Source organism: Homo sapiens, chromosome 12, assembly GCF_000001405.40.
Source record: "Homo sapiens chromosome 12, GRCh38.p14 Primary Assembly".
Taxonomy (NCBI): Eukaryota; Metazoa; Chordata; class Mammalia; order Primates; family Hominidae; genus Homo; species Homo sapiens.
The window spans coordinates 68,696,418-68,717,264 of NC_000012.12; the positions used below are offsets into that span (position 1 = coordinate 68,696,418).

General features: G+C 40.7%; 1 protein-coding gene and 1 pseudogene across 4 annotated transcripts in view; both read left to right on the forward strand.

Annotated features, from left to right (window-relative positions):
• NUP107 (nucleoporin 107) overlaps positions 1-20,847 on the forward strand; it is a 58,832-nt gene that overhangs the window by 9,440 nt on the left and 28,545 nt on the right. For 3 of the 4 annotated variants that reach the window (NM_001330192.2, NM_020401.4, XM_005269037.5), the window contains exons 6-12: positions 402-505; positions 4,309-4,436; positions 6,319-6,367; positions 12,821-12,892; positions 13,588-13,676; positions 17,313-17,391; positions 19,210-19,323. In NM_001330192.2, coding sequence (NP_001317121.1) covers positions 402-505; positions 4,309-4,436; positions 6,319-6,367; positions 12,821-12,892; positions 13,588-13,676; positions 17,313-17,391; positions 19,210-19,323 — 635 coding nt within the window. Of the gene's footprint in view, positions 1-401; positions 506-4,308; positions 4,437-6,318; positions 6,368-12,820; positions 12,893-13,587; positions 13,677-17,312; positions 17,582-18,263; positions 19,324-20,847 lie in introns of those variants that run through there. The other variant, XM_047429177.1, reaches the window with a different exon arrangement.
• KRT8P39 (keratin 8 pseudogene 39) lies at positions 9,139-10,848 on the forward strand (annotated as a pseudogene).

Here is a 20,847-nt window from a genome sequence, read left to right on the forward strand (position 1 = left end):
AAATTTTCAAACAGGCTGGGTGCGGTGGCTCACGCCTGTAATGCCAGCACTTTGGGAGGCTGAGGCGAGCAGATCACCTGAGGTCAGGAGTTTGAGACCAGCCTGGCCAATATGGTGAAACCCCATCTCTACTAAAAATACAAAAATTAGCTGGGCATGGTGGTACATGCCTGTAATCCCAGCTAGTTGGGAGGGTGAGGCAGGAGGATCACTTGAACCTGGGAGGTGGAGGTTGCAGTGAGCTGAGACCGTGCCATTGCACTCCACCCTGGACAACAAGAGTGAAACTCCATCTCAAAAAATAAATAAACAAATAAATACATTTTCAAACAAACGGAATTACCTAGAAGTACGTCACTTAACTTTTCTTTATTCCTTTTTTTTTTTTTGATGTGTTCTAGCATCCATGAGTATGTTTTCTGATTTCCTGCAGTCTTTTCTGAAGCACTCTTCGAGTACAGTTTTTGATCTTGTGGAAGAGTATGAAAACATCTGTGGTAGTCAGGTAAGCTAATTTCACTCCGTCGTTAGTCAAACTTCAGTATTTTTAGTTTTCATAAACAGCATTAACCTAATTTTCATAGTGTTTAAGGGAGGTGTCTTAGGGGAACAGTGGCAGGAGTGGAGGGAAAGTCAACTAGAGCATCCCTGCGTCTTACATATTGAGGGCCCATACAAGATTTCTTTGGGAGAAAAAAGGATTCTGCTGCTTTAAAAAAGGAAAATCCAGCCAGATGCAATGGCTCACACCTGTAATCCCAATGCTTTGGGAGGCCAAAGCAGAAGGATCACTTAAACCCAGCAGTTCAAGACCAGCCTGGGCAACATGGGAAGGCCTTGTCTCTACAAGAAATACATTTGCCAAGCATGGTGCTATGTACCTGTGATTCTAGCTCCTTGGGAGGCTCAGGTGGGAGGATTGCATGAGCCGCAGAGTTTGAGGCTACAGTGAGCCATGGTCACACCACTGCACTCCAGCCAGGGTGACAGAGTAGACCCTGTCTGAAGGAAAATCTAAAATATACGAGGAATATTTAGAACTCAACAATAAGAAATGAGGGTGGGGGGAGGGAGAGCATCAGGAAGAATGGCTAATGTATGCTGGGTTTAATACCTAGTTGATGGATTGACAGATACAGCAAACCACCATGGCACACCTTTACCTGTGTAACAAACCTGCACATCCTGCACATTTATCCTGGAACTTAAACAAAATAAAACTCAACAATAAGAAAATGAACAATCTAGTTAAAAAATGAACAAAAGATGGGAACAGGCACCTCACCAAAGAAGATATACAGATGGCAAATAAGCATATAAAAAATGCTTTGGCCAGACGTGGTGACTCATGCCTGTAATCCTAGCACTTTGGGAGGCCGAGGTGGGTGGATCACTGCAGGTCAGGAGTTCGAGACCAGCCTGGCCAACATTGTGAAACCCTGTCTCTACTAAAATACAAAATTAGCCAGGTGTGGTGGTGGGCACCTGTAATCCCAGCTACTTAGGAGCCTGAGGCAGGAGAATCGCTTGAACCTGGGAGGCGGAAGTTGCAGTGAACCAAGATTGAGCCACTGCACTCCAGCCCGGGCGATAGAGTGAGACTCCATCTCAAAAAAAAAAAAAAGAAAGAAAAGATGTTTCACATTGTATGTCATTAGAGAATTGCAAATTAAAATAATGAGATACTACAACATACCTATTAGAATGATGAAGATCCAGGCCAGTGCTGTGGCTCCTGCCAGTAATCCCAACACTTTGGGAGGCTGAGGCAGGAGGATCACTTGAGGCCAGGAGTTCAAGACCAGCCTGGGCAGCATAGCAAAACCCCATCTCTGCAAAAACAAACAAAAAAAGAAATAGAATGATGAAGATCCAAAAGACACCACCAAATGCTGGAGAGGATGTGGAGCAACAGGAACTATCATTCATTGCTGGTGGAAATGCAAACAACTATAGCTACTTTGGAAGACAGTCTGCAGTTTCATACAAAACTAAACATACTATTGTCATATGATCCAGCAAACTCATTCCTTGATATTTACCCAGGTGAGTTGAAAACTGTATACACAAAAACCTACACAGACGTTTATTACAGTTTTATTCGTAACAACTTGAAAGCAACCAAGATATCCTTCAGTGGGCGAATGAATAAACTGGTACATCTGAGCAGTGAAACATTATTCAATGCTGAAAAGAAACTGGCTATCAAGCCATGAAAAAACATGGAGGAACCTTAAATGCATATTGCTAAGTGAAAGAAGCCAATTTGAAAAGGCTACATATTATATGATTACAACTATATGACATTCTGGAAAAGGCAAAACTTGGAAACAGTGACAAGATCATCAGTTGCCAGGAGTTAGTTGCGAGGGAGCAATGAATAGGTAGAACACAGGATTTTTAAGGCAGTGAAACCACTCTTTATGCTATAATGGGGGACACATGTCAGTATACATTTATCATAATTCATGGAATGTACACCACCAAGAATGAATCCTAATGTAAACTATGGACTTTGGGGGATAATGATGTGTCAATATAAGTTCCTCAGTTGTAACAGATATACCATTCTAGTGTTAGATATTGATGGTGAGGGAGGCTGGGATTGTGTGGGGGAAGAGATATTTGGGTACTCTGCTTTCTGCCCCATTTTGCTGGGAATTTAAAGCTAGGCCAGGCACAGTGGCTCATACCTGTAATCTCAGCACTTTGGGAGGCCAAGACAGGTAGATTACCTTAGGTCAGGAGTTCAACACCAGCCTGGCCAATATGGTGAAACCTCATCTGTACTAAAAATGCAAAAAAATTAGTGGAGTGTGGTGGTGGGCACCTGTAATCCCAGCTACTCGGGAGGCTGAGGTGGGAGAATCGCTTGAACCCGGGAGGCAGAGGTTGCAGCGAGCTGAGATTCTGCCACTGCACTCCATCCTAGGCAACAGAGTGAGACTCCTCCGTCTCAAAATAAAATAAAATAAAACTACACTAAAGAAGTCTATTTTTAGAAAGAGGAAAAGACTTCAAGAAAATACTGCATTCAGTAATAATTGAAATAATAGTAATAGACAACTTTTTATCATTTAATGTTTCAATAATTGACCTCTGAATTGTTCTATTATAAATGCAGTAGCTTCATTAAATAACACTTAGTGAATCACTGGAGTCAGGATTCCAGCTGAGAATGTAATGAATGAAGTACAGATAACACTTTTATGAAGTACTAGTCTTAAGACAGTAGTAACATTACTTTGTGAATACTTATTAAGGGGTGGGAAAACCCATTGTGGTGTTCTGAATGAGAGCAGTCTTCTTCCTTAATTCATCTTGACAAGATAATGAGGTACTGTTAGTAACCTTTGAGAAAGATTTTCTTTACCCTGGGTCGTTAAACCTCCTGATAAACAATTGTGTGTATGTTTCTAGGGGGACCATTCATGCCTTTTATTAGATTTTTACATGTGCCTCAGTCCTGAAAAGGTGTTTTTGTTTTTGTTTTTGTTTTTTTCTCCCCAGAGTCTCACTCTGTCGCCCCAGCTGGAGTACAGTGGCAGGATCCCTGCTCACTGCAACCTCTGCCTCCTGGGTTCAAGTGATTCTCCTGCCTTAGCCTCCTGAGTAGCTGGGATTATAGGCACACACCACCATGCCTGGCTAATTTTTTATATTTTTAGTAGAGATGGGGTTTCACCATGTTGGCCAGGCTGGTCTCAAACTCCTGACCTCAAGCAATCCACCTGTCTCGGCCTCCCAAAGTGCTGGGATTACAAGCGTGAGTCACCACGCCCAGCCTCTGAAAAGGTTTAAGACCACTATTTTGGAATGAGGAAGGACTTTGGTGATGTTTTGTTTAGAAATGATAATGTTTTTGGTGCCAATCTTAGGAAAATATCTTTCTTGATTAGTTACCTGATATAAATTTTCAAACACAATTTTAAGATAACTTTTTAAATTTTAATTGCTAAAATGTTGGCTTATGTTATGATTTTTCCAGGTATAGGTTTGATTTAACTTATCCTCTGGGTAGATATACAGGGAGAAAAAAATATATCCATCACTGCCACTGTTGGATCTGAAATCAAGAGTATGTTAGACTTATATATATACTCAGATAAACACACCTTGTTCCAAATTAGATCCATTTCTAGTGGGAACATTACATTACATTTAATTTAAAAAGACAAAATAGAGAAGGCAATTTTATAATATATACTTATTAAATACAATTATTTTAGCACTCTATTCAAATACAAACTTATCAGTGACTCAAAATTGTAGAAAATTAACCTCTTTACATCTGTGTTTTTTATTCAGGTGAATATACTGAGTAAAATAGTGAGTCGAGCAACACCTGGACTTCAAAAATTTTCAAAAACAGCCAGTATGCTCTGGCTTCTTCAACAGGAGATGGTCACATGGAGGCTGCTGGCTTCTTTGTATAGGTAATGGCGTCTAGAATTCATAAGTGAAATAAACATAAGGTAATAAACCAACAGGCAAATTAATTTAAAAGTTAGGGTAGGTCGTGCTTGGAAATAGGTTTTGCTATTTTTGATGCTTATCATTTCGAATACCTTAGTTGTCAAGAGTGAGTCAAGAGGGAAGAGGAAGATATCAGATCATAAGGCTGGTAGTTACCAAAATTGGATGTGTGTAAAGACTTAAGGAAAGTACTAAAAATAGTGCAATACTTAGGCTAAATTAAGAAAAGAGCTGAAAGTTAGACTTCATGTAATATGGAAGTTTGAAAGAAGTTAACCAAATTTTCCAGAAGGCGAAGATTATACCATGTACATATCCTTGAATCTAGGAATTTTATGCCTAGAAATTTAACCTAAGAAAATAATGAGAAATATATACAACCACATATGAATAAAACTTTTAAATCTCAAAAAATTAAAAACTACTACTAAGGAATTGGCTAAATGAATTACAGCAGCTCTGTTAGAACCAGAATAACTTGCAGCCATTTTAAATTAGCACTTGTGGGCTGGGCACAGTGGCTCATGCCTGTAATCCCAGTACTTTGGGAGGCCAAGGTGGGTGGATCACTTGAGGTCAGGAGTTCAAAACCAGCCTGGCCAACACAGTAGAACGCTGTCTCTACTAAAAATACAAAAATTAGCCAGGCGTGGTGGTGGGCACCTATAATCCCAGCTACTTGGGAGGCTGAGGCAGGAGAATCGCTTGAACCTCGGAGGCAGAGGTTGCGAGCCGAGATTGTGCTACTGCACTCCAGCCTGGGTGACAGAGTGAGACTCCATCTCAAAAAAAAAATAATAATTTAAATAAATAAATAAATAACCATTTGTGTATATTCATTGACATGGAAAGATATTCATGACATATTGTTATATGAAAACTGGATTTCATATTAATATATAAATGATGTCCCCTCTGCCATTTGTTTTGTTTTTGAAAAAGAGTCTCACTCTGTTGCTCAGGTTGAGTGCAGTGGCACAACCTTGGCTCGCTGCAACCTCCGCCTCTGAGGTTCAAGGGATTCTCCTGCCTCAGCCTCCTGAGTAGCTGGTATTACAGATGCTGGCCACCATGCCTAGCTAATTTTTGTATTTTTATTTTATTTTTATTTTTGAGATGGAATCTCGCTCTGTTGCCCAGGCTGGAATGCAGTGGTGTGATCTCGGCTCACTGCAACCTCCGCCTCCCAGGTTTAAGCGATTCTCCTGTCTCAGCCTCCCGAGTAGCTGGGATTAGAGGCGCATGCCAACACGCTTGGCTAATTTTTATATTTTTAGTAGAGACAGGGTTTTGCCATGTTGGCCATGCTGGTCTCAAACTCCTGACCTCAAGTGATCCACCCACCTCGGCCTCCCAAAGTGCTAGGATTATAGGCGAGAGCCACCGTACCTGGCCTAATTTTTATATTTTTAGTAGAGACAGGGTTTCACTATGTTGGCCAGGCTGGTCTCGAACACCCGACCTCAGGTGATCCACCCACCTCAGCCTCCCAAAATGCTGAGATTACAAGCGTGACCCACCGTGCCCTGCCTAACTTTTTTTATTTTTAGTAGAGACGGGGTTTCACTCTGTTGTTCGCCAGGCTGGTCTTAAACTCCTGACCTCAAGTGATCTGCCTGTCTCAGCCTCCCAAAGTGCTGGGATTACAGGTATGAGCCAGTGTGCCCGGCCTGTTGTCCCATTTTTGTTTACAAAAATACAGATATACATATTTGAAAAAATAAATAATAAAAAATTTTTAAAAAGAAGTTAGCCAAATTTTCCTTCTCTCAGATGCTCAGTGGCAAGTTCATTATATTCGTGTGAAATAAGGCTTTTTTATTTTGTCTTATTTTTCCCCAGAGACAGAATACAGTCTGCATTAGAAGAGGAAAGTGTATTCGCAGTTACTGTAAGTTTTATATTAATTTTTTCTTTTATAAATACATACAAATTAAAATGTTACTAATAGGATTTTTTTTTTTTTTGAGTTGGAGTTTCGCTCTTGTTGCCCAGGCTGGAGGGCAATGGCGTGATCTCGGCTCACTGCAACCTCTGCCTCCCGGGTTCAAGTGATTCTCCTACCTCAGCTTCCTGAGTAGCTGGGATTACAGGCGTGCCCCACCACGCCCAGCTAATTTTTTGTATTTTTAATAGCAAACGGGGTTTCATCATGTTGGCCAAGCTGGTCTCGAACTTCTGACCTCAGGTGATCCACCCACCTTGGCCGCCCAAAGTGGTGGGATTACAGGCATGAGCCACTGCGCCCAGCCAGGATTTTATTTTCAGCCTTCCATCTTGAGTTTCTTCATTTTAAAAATTTTACAAGTAAATAAAAAGTTCAGTCTCATAAAATAATCAAATATTGATTTATATTAGAGAGTTAGAGGTAAAAGTCCCTTTTTATCCCACTGACTATTTAGTGTAACAGTTTTGGTATGTATCCTACCAGACATTTTTCTATGCATCTTTATAGATACATACATATATATAAACATACACTCACATACTTGTATACACACACACATTTGTTTTTTAACATATAATATGATTTCATTTATACATTATACTGAGAGTTTGTTTGTTTTTTTTTTTTGAAATGAAGTTTCACTCTGTCACCCAGGTTGGAGTGCAGTGGCACGATCATGGCTCACTGCAACCTCCGCCTCCTGGGTTCAAGTGATACTTCTGCCTCAGCCTCCCGAGTAGCTGGGACTACAGGCTTGTGCCACCACGCCTGGCTAATTTTTGTGTTTTTAGTAAAGATAGGGTTTCACTGTATTGACCAGGCTGGTCTCGATCTCCTGACCTTGTGATCCGCCCACCTCAGCCTCCCACAGTGCTGGGATTACAGGTGTGAGCCACTGTGCCCGGCTTATACTGAGAGTTTTAAAATTATTATTTCTTAGATTTTTTAAAATTTATGTAGGTTTTTACCATATTTTTTCATAGTATGTCAGAGTATAAATGTACTGTAATTTTTTGAGACATTCAGCCGGACATATTTAGGTTGTTACTGGTATTTTTGCTGTAGCCATTAATAATGCAGTAAATAGTTTGGTGTAGAGGCACATGCCTGTGGTCCCAGCAACTTGTCAGGCTAAGGCCAGAGGATCACTTGAGCCCAGGAGTTCAAGGCTACGGTGAGCTACAACCATACTACTGCACTCTAGCCTGGGCAACAGAGTGAGATCCCGTTTCTAAAAAATAAAAAAAAAGTGCAGTGAATGTTTTTCTTCATACATATATATGTGTGTGAGAGAAATTCTGGACAAGTAAACACCATTCTTTTGCCCTTAGGATTCAATGCTGTCTTCTACAGCCTCCAGGCCTGGGATCCTGAAAGGACCTTGGGTGGTAAAACTGGCCTTGGCTGGATTGAGGGTTTGGGGAAGAAACATGCAAATAGCCTCAGATGTTTTTTAAATGCAGCAAGTAACATTTCTGGATGAGACTTATTTCCAAAATAAACCAGCTATATCTGTTTTGAAAAAATATGTACACATATATGCCTGTTAAATCATCAAGATCAGATGCCTTTTTGGGGTTTAACTTCTTTATATTTTCTGTTTTTAAAAGTAATTCTTTTTTTTTTTTAAGAGATAGGGTCTTGCTCTATTGCCCAGGCTGGAGTGCAGTGGCGTGATCTCAGCTCACTCCAACCTCCACCTCCCGGGTTCAAGCGATTCTCATGCCTCAGCCTCCCTAGTAGCTGGGATTACAGGCATGCACCACCACACCCGGCTAATTTTTGTACTTTTAGTAGAGACAGGGTTTTAACCATGTTGTCCAGGCTGGTCTTGAACTCCTAGCTTCAAGTGATCCACCTGTTTTGGCCTCCCAAAGTGCTGAGATTACAGACGTGAGCCACCGTGCCTCGCCCAAAAGTAATTCATATTTGAAGCAAGTATATATAGTTAAAAAAGGAGATAATGTATATTTATAATAAATATTTTATGTATATCTGTTAGACTGCTTTTTTTTTTCTTTTGTTTCTTTTTCTTTTTTGGGGGGTGGCCAGCACGGCGGGGACATGGTCTCACTTTGTCTCACAGGCCAGAGTGCAGTGGCATGATCATAGTTCACTGCAGCCTCGAACTCTTGGGCTCAAGTGAGCCTCCTGCCTCAGCCTCCCAAGTAGCGAGGACTACAGGTGTGTACCACCATGCCTGGCTAATTTCTTTTTTATATTTTATAGAGATGGGGTGTCTTACTATGTTGCCCAGGCTGGTCTCAAACTCCAAGGCTACTTTTTCACTTAAAATATTTTTTAATATCTTTCCAATCTTTTAATTTGTTTATCCCACAAATACTTCATTCCAAATGCACATGTAGGAAGACTGTCATATTTGGCTATTTATTGAGCTCACTTACTAGTTTTAATAGGTTTCCTCTGGTTTTCCAGGCAATTCTGTTATCTACAAGTAGTGATGACTTTGACTGTTTTTCCATACTTTTTGCTAACTTAATTCTTTTCCTGGTTTTATTATGTTAGTTAGACTTTTCAAAGTAAAGTTGAATAATAATGAACTCTTACTCCTCATCTTCTGGATTTTAAAGGGAGTATCTCACTTTACAGTTAAGTATAGTCAGCCGAAATTCCTTATATGTGGGTTCCACATCCATGAATTTAACCAACTGCAGATCAAAAGTATTCTTTAAAAAAAAAAAAAAAAAAAAGAATCACCAAGAAGCAGCTTCTCTGTTCCTTCTCGAATCTCCGCCTAGCTCAGCCTGCCTGCCTTCACTCCTGCCTCCACCATGTCCATCAGAGTGACCCAGAAGTCCTTCAAGGTGTCCAACTCTGGCCCAAGGGCCTTCAGTAGCCATTCCTACATGTGTGGGCCCAGTGCCTGCATCAGCTCCTCGAGCTTCTCCCGAATGGGCAGCAGCAGTTTCCGGGGTAGCCTGGGTGGAGACTTTGGCAGGGCCAGTGGTAGGGGAGGCATCACCCCAGTCACGGTCAACCAGAGCCTGCTGAGCCCCCTTAACCTGGAGGTGGACCCCAACATCCAAGCTGTGTGCACCCAGGTGAAGGAGCAGATCAAGACCCTCAACAACAAGTTTGCCTCCTTCATTGACAAGGTACAGTTCCTGCAGCAGCAGAACAAGATGCTGGAGACCAAGTGGAGGCCCCTGCAGCGGCAGAAGACGGCTCAGAGCAACATGGACAACATGTTCGAGAGCTACATCAACAAACTTCTGCTGGCAGCTGTACACTCTGGGCCAAGAGAAGCTGAAGCTGGAGGTGGAACTTGATAACATGCAGGGGCTGGTGGAGGACTTCAAGAACAAGTACGAGGATGATATCAAAAAGCATACAGAGATGGAGAATGAATTTGTCCTCATCAAGAAGGATATGGATGAAGCTTACAAGAACAAGGTAGAGCTGGAGTCTCACCTGGAAGGGCTTACTGAAGAGATCAGCTTCCTCAGGCAACTGTATGAAGAGGAGATCCGGGAGCTGCAGTCCCAGATCTCGGACACATCTGTGGTGCTGTCCATTGACAACAGTCGCTCCCTGGACATGAACAGCATCATCGCTGAGGTCAAGGCACCGTACGAGGAGATCGCCAACCACAACCAGGCTGAGGCTGAGAGCATGAGATCAAATATGAGGAGCTGCAGACGCTGGCTTGGAAGCATGGGATGACCCGTGGTGCACAAAGACTGAGATCTCCAAGATGAACAGGAACATCAGTCGGCTCCAGGATGAGATTGAGGGCCTCAAAGGCCAGAGGGCTTCCCTGGAGGCCGCCATCGCAGATGCTGAGCAGCATGGGGAGCTGGCAGTTAAGGATGCCAACACCAAGCTGTCCAAGCTGGAGGTGGGCGGGCCAAGCAGGACATGGCACGGCAGCTGCGGGAGTACCAGGAGCTGATGAACTTCAAGCTGGCCTTGGACATCAAGATCACCACTTAAAGGAAGCTGCTGGAGGATGAGGAGAGCCAGCTGGAGTCTGGGATGCAGAACATGAGTATCCATACGAAGACCACCAGCGGCTATTCAGGTGGTCTGAGCTCGGCCTATGGGGGCCTCATAAGCCCTGGCCTCAGCTACAGCCTGGACTCCAGCTTTGGCTCTGGTGCGGGCTCCAGTTCCTTCAGCTGCACCAGCTCCACCAGGGCTGTGATTGTGAAGATCGAGACCCACGATGGAAAGCTAGTGTCTGAGTCGTCTGATGTACTGACCAAGTGAACAGCCGTGACAGCCCCTTCTAGCCTACCCCTTCTGCGGCTGCCCCAGAGAGGCTGCTGTCCAGAGGAGCACAGGGAACAGGAGACCCACCTGAGGCTCAGCCCTAGCCCTCTGCCCACCCGTGGGGGGAGTTTACTGCCTGGGGTACCCCCCTTGCCCATGCCTACAGCTACAAAACAATGCAATTTTTTTTTCCAAAATAAAACCTCAGCTAGCTCTGCCAACTGTCAAAAAAGAAAAAAAAAATGGTCCAGGTGTGGAGGCTCATGCCGGTAATCCCAACACTTTGGGAGGTCAAGGTGGAAGGCTCAGTTTAGCCCAGAGTTCAAGAGCAGCCTGGGCAAGATAGCAAGACCCAGTCTCTGCAAAAAGTGACAAACTTAGCCGGGCATGGTGGTGCATGCCTAGTCCCATCTACATGTGAGGCTGAGATGGGAGGATCGCTTGTGCCCAGGAGGTCAAGAATGTAGTGAGCTGTAATTGTGCTACTGCACTCCAGCCTGGGTGACAGAGCGAGACCCTGTCTCAAATAAAAGATCATTGGGTTTGTACTGAATATGTGCACATGTTTTTAATCTTTATTCCCTAAGTGATATAATATAACAACTATTTACATATGTAGCATTTACATTATATTAGATATTATACATAATCTAGAGATGATTTTGTTGTTGTTGTTGTTCATTATTTTTTTATCACAGCCAGGTCCAATAGAGATGATTTAAAATATACTACAGCATTTTGGCTGGATGAGGTGGCTCATGCCTGCGATCCCAGCACTTTGGGAGGCCGAGGCAGGTAGACTGCTTGAGGCCAGGAATTTGAAATCAGCCTGGCCAACATGGTGAAACCCGTCTCTACTAAAAATACAAAAATTACCCAGGTGTGGTGGCAGGCACCTCCCTTCTTCTTGGGAGGCTGAGGCATGAGAATCACTTGAGCCCAGGAGGCAGAGGTTGCAATGAGCTGAGATCAGGCCCACTGCACTCCAGCCTGGATGACAGAGTAAGACTCTGTCTCAAAAAATAAATAAATAATTAAATAAAATATACTACAACATTTTATATAAGGGCCTTGAACATCCACAGATTTTGGTATCCACGAGGGGTCCTGGAGCCAATCCCCCATGGATACCAAGGGACGACTATATGTTTGCTAGAGGTTTCAGTTAGTCTAACTTATGAGGATATATATATTTTTTACATCAAAATGGCAAGGTAAAATTTATGAAGATATTTTTATGAAATATTCTGGTACCTGTCAAGAAGTCCATGTAGCTTTTCTCCTTTAACCCATGGATAAAATGGATTAATTAATTAATTTGACCCATTCTTGAACTGGTCACAATATATTATCCTTTTAATATACTGCTTAGTATTACTTGCTAATATTTGTATTAAATTGTCTTTTAAAGTCAGTTGTAAGAGCCTTGGATTGCTCTTAGCTTTTATTACTTATCAACTTCTATATAGACTATAAAGGATTTTAACGTTTTTAAATGTTTAGTTTCTAACATGTAACAGGGCTGTATTCAGCCCTGTATTACAGTTTTTTTTTTTTTATTTTGGGATGGAGTCTCACTCTGTCACCCAGGCTGGAGTGCAGTGGCGTGATCTCAGCTCACTGCAACCTCTGCCTCGTGGGTTCAAGTGATTCTCGTGCCTTAGCCTCCGAGTAGCTGGGATTACAGGCTTGCGTCACCACGCCCAGCTAATTTTTGTATTTTTAGTAGAGATGTGGATTCACCATTTTGGCCAGACTGGTCTCGAACTCCTGACCTCAAGTGATCTGCCTGCCTCGGCCTCCCAAAGTGCTGGGATTACAGGTGTGAGCCACCATGCCTGGCCTATTAAAGTTTTTTGTTTGTTTTATTTTGTGTTTATTTTTCCCCAAAACACCATCTCTGGGAAAATGGAATTTTAAATTTCAAGTGTAAAGAATCAATATACCAGGTAAGAGCAGCTACAATTGATGTAGCAGTTTGGAATTTACACAATAGATACCTTTCAATGATGAATATACAGATTTACTATGTGGTAAAATGTTTATGTATAGATGATTAACTGTACTTGTTTCATACTGGCTTTTTATCTTTCTATTAAAATAATATTTCTTAACAGCATCTTCTTTTCATTCTGTTTATCCTTTTAATATTTTTCATAATAGGCTGTTAATGCCAGTGAAAAAACAGTTGTGGAAGCGTTATTTCAGAGGGATTCACTTGTTCGACAAAGTCAGGTATGACTAGAATTTAAAATTTTTTTTTATGAAACATGGAGAAAAGGTTAATGACATGCAAAGTACTGAAGTGTTTTTTAACTTAAAACTGTTTTCTGAATTTTTTTTCTACTTGATCTTTTTATTTGCAATTAAAAGGAATTAGAAACCTTATTCTTTGATTTTTAAGTAATAGCCCTAGTATTTTCAGGAATAGCCTGTTAAAAACGATTATTCCTATAGAAAATTTTATTCTTTTGCCATAATATTTATTTATCTTAAAGTAAAAATAGTGTTTGGAAAAATTGTTACTTGATATTTTTAAAATCAGAAACTTCACGCCTGTAATCCCAGCACTTTGGGAGGCCAGGGCAGGCAGATCTCGAGGTCAGGAGATCGAGACCATCTGGCTAACAGTGAAACCCCGTCTCTACTAAAAATAAAAAAAAAATTAGCTGGGTGTGGTGGTGGGCGCCTGTAGTCCCAGCTACTTGGGAGGCTGAGGCAGGAGAATGACGTGAACCCAGGAGGCAGAGCTTGCAGTGAGCCGAGATTATGCCACTGCACTCCAGCCTGCACGACAGAGTGAGACTCTTTCTCAAAAAAAAAAATAAAAAATCTGAAACTGTTTGAATTAAGGGTAGTAGTACCACTACAAATAAAACACAAATAGATTTGGTAGTTAACACTAATTTATTTTTTTCTTTCTTTCTTAGCTGGTGGTAGATTGGTTAGAGAGTATTGCCAAAGATGAAATTGGAGAATTTTCTGATAATATTGAGTTTTATGCAAAATCAGTATATTGGTAAGTTACCAAACTTTAATTCTTAAGGTCACTCAATGTTGATATTGTTCATTCATCTTTCAATAAGTATTATTCAGTTTTTACTTTGTTCACACTACTTTGTTCACACTACTTTGTTTGGTGTGTGAGCAAAACAAATAAAGGCTTTGCCTTTATGGAATTTATAATTGTTTAAGAGAGTTAGATAGCTGATTTGCAAATATACAGTTGGCCCTCTGAGTTTGTGGGTTTCGCATCCATGGATTGAACAAACTGCAGATCAGAAATAATTGGAATAAAACAAGCCGGGTGTGATGGCTCACGCCTGTAATCCCAGCACTTTGGGAGGCCAAGGTGGGGGATCACGAGGTCAGGAGTTCCAGACCAGCCTGACCAACATGGTAAAACCCTGTCTCTGCTAAAAATACAAAAATTAGCCGGGTTTGGTGACGCACACCTGTAATCCCAGCTACTTGGGAGGCTGAGGCAGGAGAATCGCTGAAATCCAGGAGGTGGAGGTTGCAGTGAGCCGAGTTCATGCCATTGCACTCCAGCCTGGGCGACAGAGCAGGCCGTCTTAAAAAAAAAAAAAAAAAACAGAAAAGAAATAATTGGAATAAAACAATAAAAATAACAAGATAAAAAAAGTAATACAAATTTAAAAATATAGTATAATAGTTATTTGCATAACATTTACGTTGTATTAGGTATTCTAAGTAATCGAGATGATATAAAGTATATGGGAGAACATGTGTAGGTTATATACAAATAATACAATATTTTATGTAAAGGATCTGAGCACCCTTGGATTTTGGTATCCAAGTAGGGTCCCCTATGGATACCAAGAGACAAATGTATATTCTGTTGGGTATTCCGAGCTTTGGGGAAAAAAATGAATTAGAGGCTCGGCGCTGTGGTTCACACCTGTAATCCCAGCACTTTGGGAGGCTGAGGCGGGTGGATCACGAAGTCAGGAGATCAAGACCATCCTGGCTAATGCGGTAAAACCCATCTCTACTAAAAATACAAAAAATTAGCCAGGCGTGGTGGCGGGCGGATCACGAAGTCAGGAGATCAAGACCATCCTGGCTAATGCGGTGAAACCCATCTCTACTAAAAATACAAAAAATTAGCCAGGCGTGGTGGCGGGCGCCTGTAGTCCCAGCTACTTGGGAGGCTGAGGCAGGAGAATCGCTTGAACCCAGGAGGCAGAGGTTGCAGTGAGCCGAGATTGCGCCACTGCACTCCAGCCTGGGTGACAGAGTGAGACCCTGTCTCAAAAAATAAATAAATAAATAAAATAAAAGTAACTCAGAAGGGAGATTGTTTTTAAAGTAGGAGATCCTGAATTCTGTATTTAAATACTGATATGACAGGAGCTTGAACCTGGGAGGCAGAGCTTGCAGTGAGCCAAGATCGCTCCACTGCACTCCAGCCTGGGTGACAGAGCGAGACTCCACCTCAAAAAAAAAAAAAAGGATTAGAATTAATGGATAGATACGACAGGGAGTCCTACTTTAAATTGAAGAGAAGGCTTTTCTAAGGTAGTAAGAGACTTTTATGAAATAAAGGCAGCCAGCCATGCAAAAATCTGGGGGATAACTATTCTGAGCAGGAAAACAAACTGGAATGACCCAGAGAACGTAAAGTGTTTGCACAAAGAAGCCAGTGGGAACACAGCAAGGAAAAGAATGGTAGAAAACAAGACTGGAGGAAGCCAGATATAGGGCTTTTACAGGCAGACAAATGTAACTATTCTGGACTTTATTCTAAATGTGATGGGAAACCTTGAGAATAGAAGAATGACATGGTCCAATTTATGTTTTCAAACAATCACCTGCCTGCTTTTTTCTTAATAAGATTATTGATCATATCAGAAGATGATCTTCTGATTGTCAAGAAGACACTTCTGTCCTGTTTTCAGCTACTTGTGTGGGTTTGTTTTGTTTTGTCTTGCTTTTGCTTACACTCTTCAGTACTTCTAAATTATTATAGGCCCTTGAAGCCAGAAACCTCCCCTAAGTTAAAGGGACAGTTTATTTTAAGTCTTGCAAAAGATTTTTAAAAGGTCAGATTGTGGCTGGGCATGGTTTAAGACTTGCAAAAGATTTTTAAAAGGTCAGATTGCGGGCAGGTACAGTGGCTCACACCTGTAATCCTAGCACTTTGGGAGGCCAAGGCAGGTGGATCACCTGAGATCAGGAGTTCAAGAGCAGTCTGGCCAACATGGTAAAACCGCATCTCTACTAAAAATACAAAAATTAGCCAGTCGTGGTGGCGGGCACCAGTGAGCCAAGATCACGCCATTGCACTCCAGCCTGGGTAAAAAGAGCAAAACTCCATCTCAAAAAAAAAAAAAAAAAAAAAAAAAGTCAGATTGCCAGATTGCCTTTGAATTCAGTAATATGTGTACAAAGTCTGTAAGTCAATTATATATTTTCTCTGCTTAGCTAGGAAATTACTGCTACTAAGCATTTGTTAAAAATTAAATCTTAAGTGGATGTGATTTTTTTTCTGAAAGGAAGTTTTCATTTTCAGAAAATAAGTTTTTTTTTTTGTTTTTTGTTTTTTGTTTTTTTTTTTTAGTTAAAATGCCCTGTTGGGTTTTTACAATTTTTAATGAGTTAATCTCCTTTTTTTTGCTGATCAGCGGAACAGAACAGAGAACCCCACAATAGATTCACACTGATATGGTCATTTGGTTTTCAACAAGGACATCAAAGCAATCCAGCAGGGAATGGAATGCCTTTTTTACAAACTGCAGAAAAATGATATCTATGAGAAAGAAGATTAACCTTGATGGCTCCCTCACTCCATACCCAACAATTAATTCAAGATGTGTCATAGTCCTAAATGTAGAAGCTAAAAACCATAAAGCTTTTAAAGAAAAGCATAGGAAGATATCCTAGTAACTTGAGAATAGATAGATGTATCTTAGCTCATAGAAAGCAATAATCAGGCAAAAAAATTGGTTTGACTTTATCAAAATTAAAAATGTATCATTAAAAAAACACCATTGGCCAGACATGGTGGCTCACACCTGTAATCCTAGCACTTTGGGAGGCTGAGGCAGAAGGATTACTTGAGGCCGGGAGTTCAAGACCAGCCAGGGGAACACAGTGAGACCCCCATCTCTACAAAAATATTAAAATGTTAGCAGGGCATGGTGGCGCGTGTCTGTAGTCCCAGCTACTCAGGAGACTGAAATGGGAGGATCACTTGAGTCCGGGAGGTCGAGGCTGCAGTGAGTCATGATTGTGCCACTGCACTTTAGCCTCGGCAACAGAGCGAGACCCTGTCTCCAAAAAAAAAAAAAAAAAACCCACCATTAAGAAAATAAATGGGAGCAAGCCACAGACTGGGATGTGTAGTTCATAAAGAACTATAACTCAATAGTAGAAAGATAATCCTAGTAAAAAGGGCAAAAATTTGAACTGATACATCACGAAACCAGATAGATGAATGGCCAATAAGGACATGAAAAAGCCCTCAACACCATTAGTCATCTGAGCTAAAATGTACTTCTGTATTAAGGATTTTTGCATGTTTTTACTGGGATTGTAGTCTGTCTTTCTTCCTTTGACTTGATTTGATTTTTTAAAAATAGACCTATTAAAATTACCTCTTAAAAAATTTGGTACTTATTATTTCTTTCAGGGAAAATACTCTGCATACCTTAAAACAACGGCAGCTGACTTCTTACGTTGGAAGTGTTCGTCCGCTTGTCACTGAATTGGTAAATGTTCTTTGAAATGAAAGTTGCCTTCAAAGTTAACTGATTTTTTTTTTCAGGCTGAGAATTTTTTCTCGTGGATCTTTGTTTTGCTCTTCTAAAGGTTTGCACACACTAACATTTTACTCTAAAACAACTAAGTTGCATTGGAATCTGATGGAATATATTGAAACATATCCGTGACCTTTGAATTGTAAGTAATAAGTTGTGGAAAGTATACTTAACTTGACAGCATTAAAAACAAATTAATTTTGGTCTTATCTTAAGATTTGACTGCCTATATAAGGTAGTGACTGACCTATGAAAGCTCTTTTATGTTGAAAGCAAGTGAAAAAAAACTAAAGCCTTATTGGTTTGAGGTTAGAACGGTTATTTGAAAAGTGGATTTGAAAAGAACTGAAGCTGAATTATTCTAAAAACAAAGGAATGAAGCTTTATGACAGGGCACGTGAAATGTTTATAGTGAAAAGAGAGAAATAAGTAACAATTGAAAAAAACTTCTAGAATTCCATTTAGTAACAAAGAGGTTTTTGATGAAAATTGTTTGGGAAAAAGAAAAAGAAAATTGTTTGGAAACTACTCTTAACAGCTTAAAATTGATTATAGCTAAATTACATTGTAGCAGGCAACAGCTGAAAATCGTTTAATCTTACCAGCTGGAAAGTGGTGATTTCCTTTTGCCAGAAAGAGACCATGTTCCAAAATTGAATTATGTGTTTGCAAAATATTTATGAAAGTAGTGAATTGATCTATTATGTATTCCATTTTCTGAATTGATATTCATATTACCATACACTAAGTAACATGTGGAGTAAGAATTACTTCCTTTCTTGAGTCACATTAAAATTGTTTTCCATTGGAAATCCATCATGTAGATCATGTGTGCTGTTTGCTGCTAAAGTGAGAACAATATATTATCCTAAATGCTTAGAAGCACATGGAAAAAAGGTAGGTAGAAATAACTGTTTTGGGAGATTTGTACTTATTTATTAGAAATCTGTTTAAATTTTTTTATTAGGCATTGGTGTTTTTTATGTGGCATTAATCCCAAAATAGGTCTTAATAGGCCCTCTTCCCATATGTTCTCAAAAAGTACCAGGTAAGCACTTTGTAGTCACAGAACAGAAGGTTTTTGCTTTGTGTTCTTCTTCCATCTAGGTCTAATTCTATTTAAACTTGACCATGTAGCTGCTGTGATAGAGTGAAACTCAAGTCATCTTCTAGTGTTACCTGGGCTGGGATAGGCTAGTAGTATTTCTGCCTTGCCTGACTGAGGCATGCCCTTTGTGGGCCAACTGAGTATGTTTTAAGTAGGGAAGCAGATGACTATGTGGCTATTTGGAACACTTGTAATCTTGTGAGAGCTTCATTCCCTTTGTTACTTAATTAAATTGAAACAATTTATTTCAGCCAGGCGCAGTGGTTCACGCCTGTAATCCCAGCACTTTGGGTGGCCGAGGTGGGTGGATCATGAGGTCAGGAGTTCGAGACCAATCTGGTCAACGTGGTGAAACCCCGTCTCTACTAAAAATACAAAAATTAGCTGGGCGTGGTGGCGTGCACCTATAATCCCAGCTGCTCGGGAGGCCGAGGCAGGAGAATTGCTTGAACAGAGGAGATGGAGGTTGTGGTGTGCTGAGATCGCGCCACTGCACTCCAGCCTGGGCGACAGAACAAGACTCCGTCTCGGAAAAGAAAAAAGAAAAAATGAATTTATTTGTGTATAAACTCAGGATAGGTTTATCATCTCTTGATGATGTGTAAAATGTATGTAAGTACAAAGGATTTATGGTTGATGATGACTTTTTTTTCTTCTTACAGGACCCTGATGCTCCCATAAGACAGAAAATGCCCCTTGATGATCTGGATAGAGAAGATGAAGTTAGATTACTCAAATATCTCTTTACTCTAATCCGTGCTGGAATGACAGAAGAGGTCAGTCATGTATACCCTTCTTGTCTAATTTCAAAAAGTCATAGACTCTTTGAGTTGGAAGAGATTTTTGTGGCTGCCTAGTAAGCCTTCTTAATGTAGTAATTCCATTCATGGTATTTCTAGATCTAACTTCCTGTTCGAACATTTCCGGTGATAAGGCACATGTAACTTGAGAAAACAATGTAATCTAGTTTGTACAACTCTAATTAATAGAAAATTATTTATAACAAGTCATACTTTTCTTCCCCATATTGCACTGCATACTCTAGGTATATCCCCATTATTTATTTTTTTGTTCCGTTTGAGATTTTTGTTTTTGTTTTTGTTTTTTTTTTGAGACAGTGTCTTGCCATGTTGCCCAGCGTAATCTCAAACTTCTGGCCTTAAGTGATCCTCCCGCCTTGGCCTTAAAAAGTGCTGGGATTACAGGCATGAGACACTGCACCTGGCCCAATCTCCATTCATTTTTTTTTCCTTTTTCTTTCTTTCTTTCTTTCTTTCTTTCTTTTTTTTTTTGAGATGGGATCTCACTGTCGCCTAGACTGGAATGCAGTGATATAATCATGGCCCACTGCAGTCCTTACCTCCCGGGCTCAAGCCCTGCCTCAGCCTCCTGAGTAACTGGGACTACAGGTACACGCCACTATGCCCAACTAACATTTTTATTTTTTGTACAGACGGAGTCTTACTATGTTGTCCAGGCTGATCGTGAACACCTGGGCTCAAGTGATCTTCCTGCATTGGCCTCCCAAAGTGCTGGGATTGCAGGCATGAGCCACTGCACCTGACCCAATCTTCATTATTTCTAATTCTGATTTTTCAGAGTTTAGAATAAACCTAACCCTAATTCTAGGTGATACTATTTAGGCACTTGAAGGCTACAATGGCCCTCAAACTTCTTCCTTTTAACCTTACCTTTTAAAAATGTGGGTGATAGTTAATATCTTATATGTAGAATGATAAGTATCTAATTGGACAGTTTACCAGATGCCTCTTTAGGTGAGATAGTGTGATGTGTAGGAGTTTGGCTTCAGTATTATGTTGTACTTGGTTTACAGTACTTTTTGCAATGGTCTTTAGACAGATTCTATGTCAGTTCAAAGTGTTGTTTGTTTTCTTCTGTGCTATCAACCATAAGCATATATTAATTTCTTATGTAATTTCTTTTTTTTTTTGAGATGGAGTCTCGCTCTGTCACCCAGGCTGGAGTGCAGTGGCGCGATCTCGGCTCACTGCAACCTCCGCCTCCCAGGTTCAAGCAATTCTCCTGCCTCAGCCTCCCAAGTAGCTTGGAATACAGGCACACGCCTCCACGCCTGGCTAATTTTTTGCATTTTAGTAAAGACGTGGTTTCACCGTGTTGCCCAGGCTGGTCTCAAACTCCTGAGCTCAGGCAGTCCGCCTACCTCAGCCTCCCAAAGTGCTAGGATTACAGGCGTGAGCCACCACACCCGGCCATGGGATTTATTTTAAAAAACAAAAATACAATCATATTATTGAAGGCTCAAAAAATAGAAATTCTCA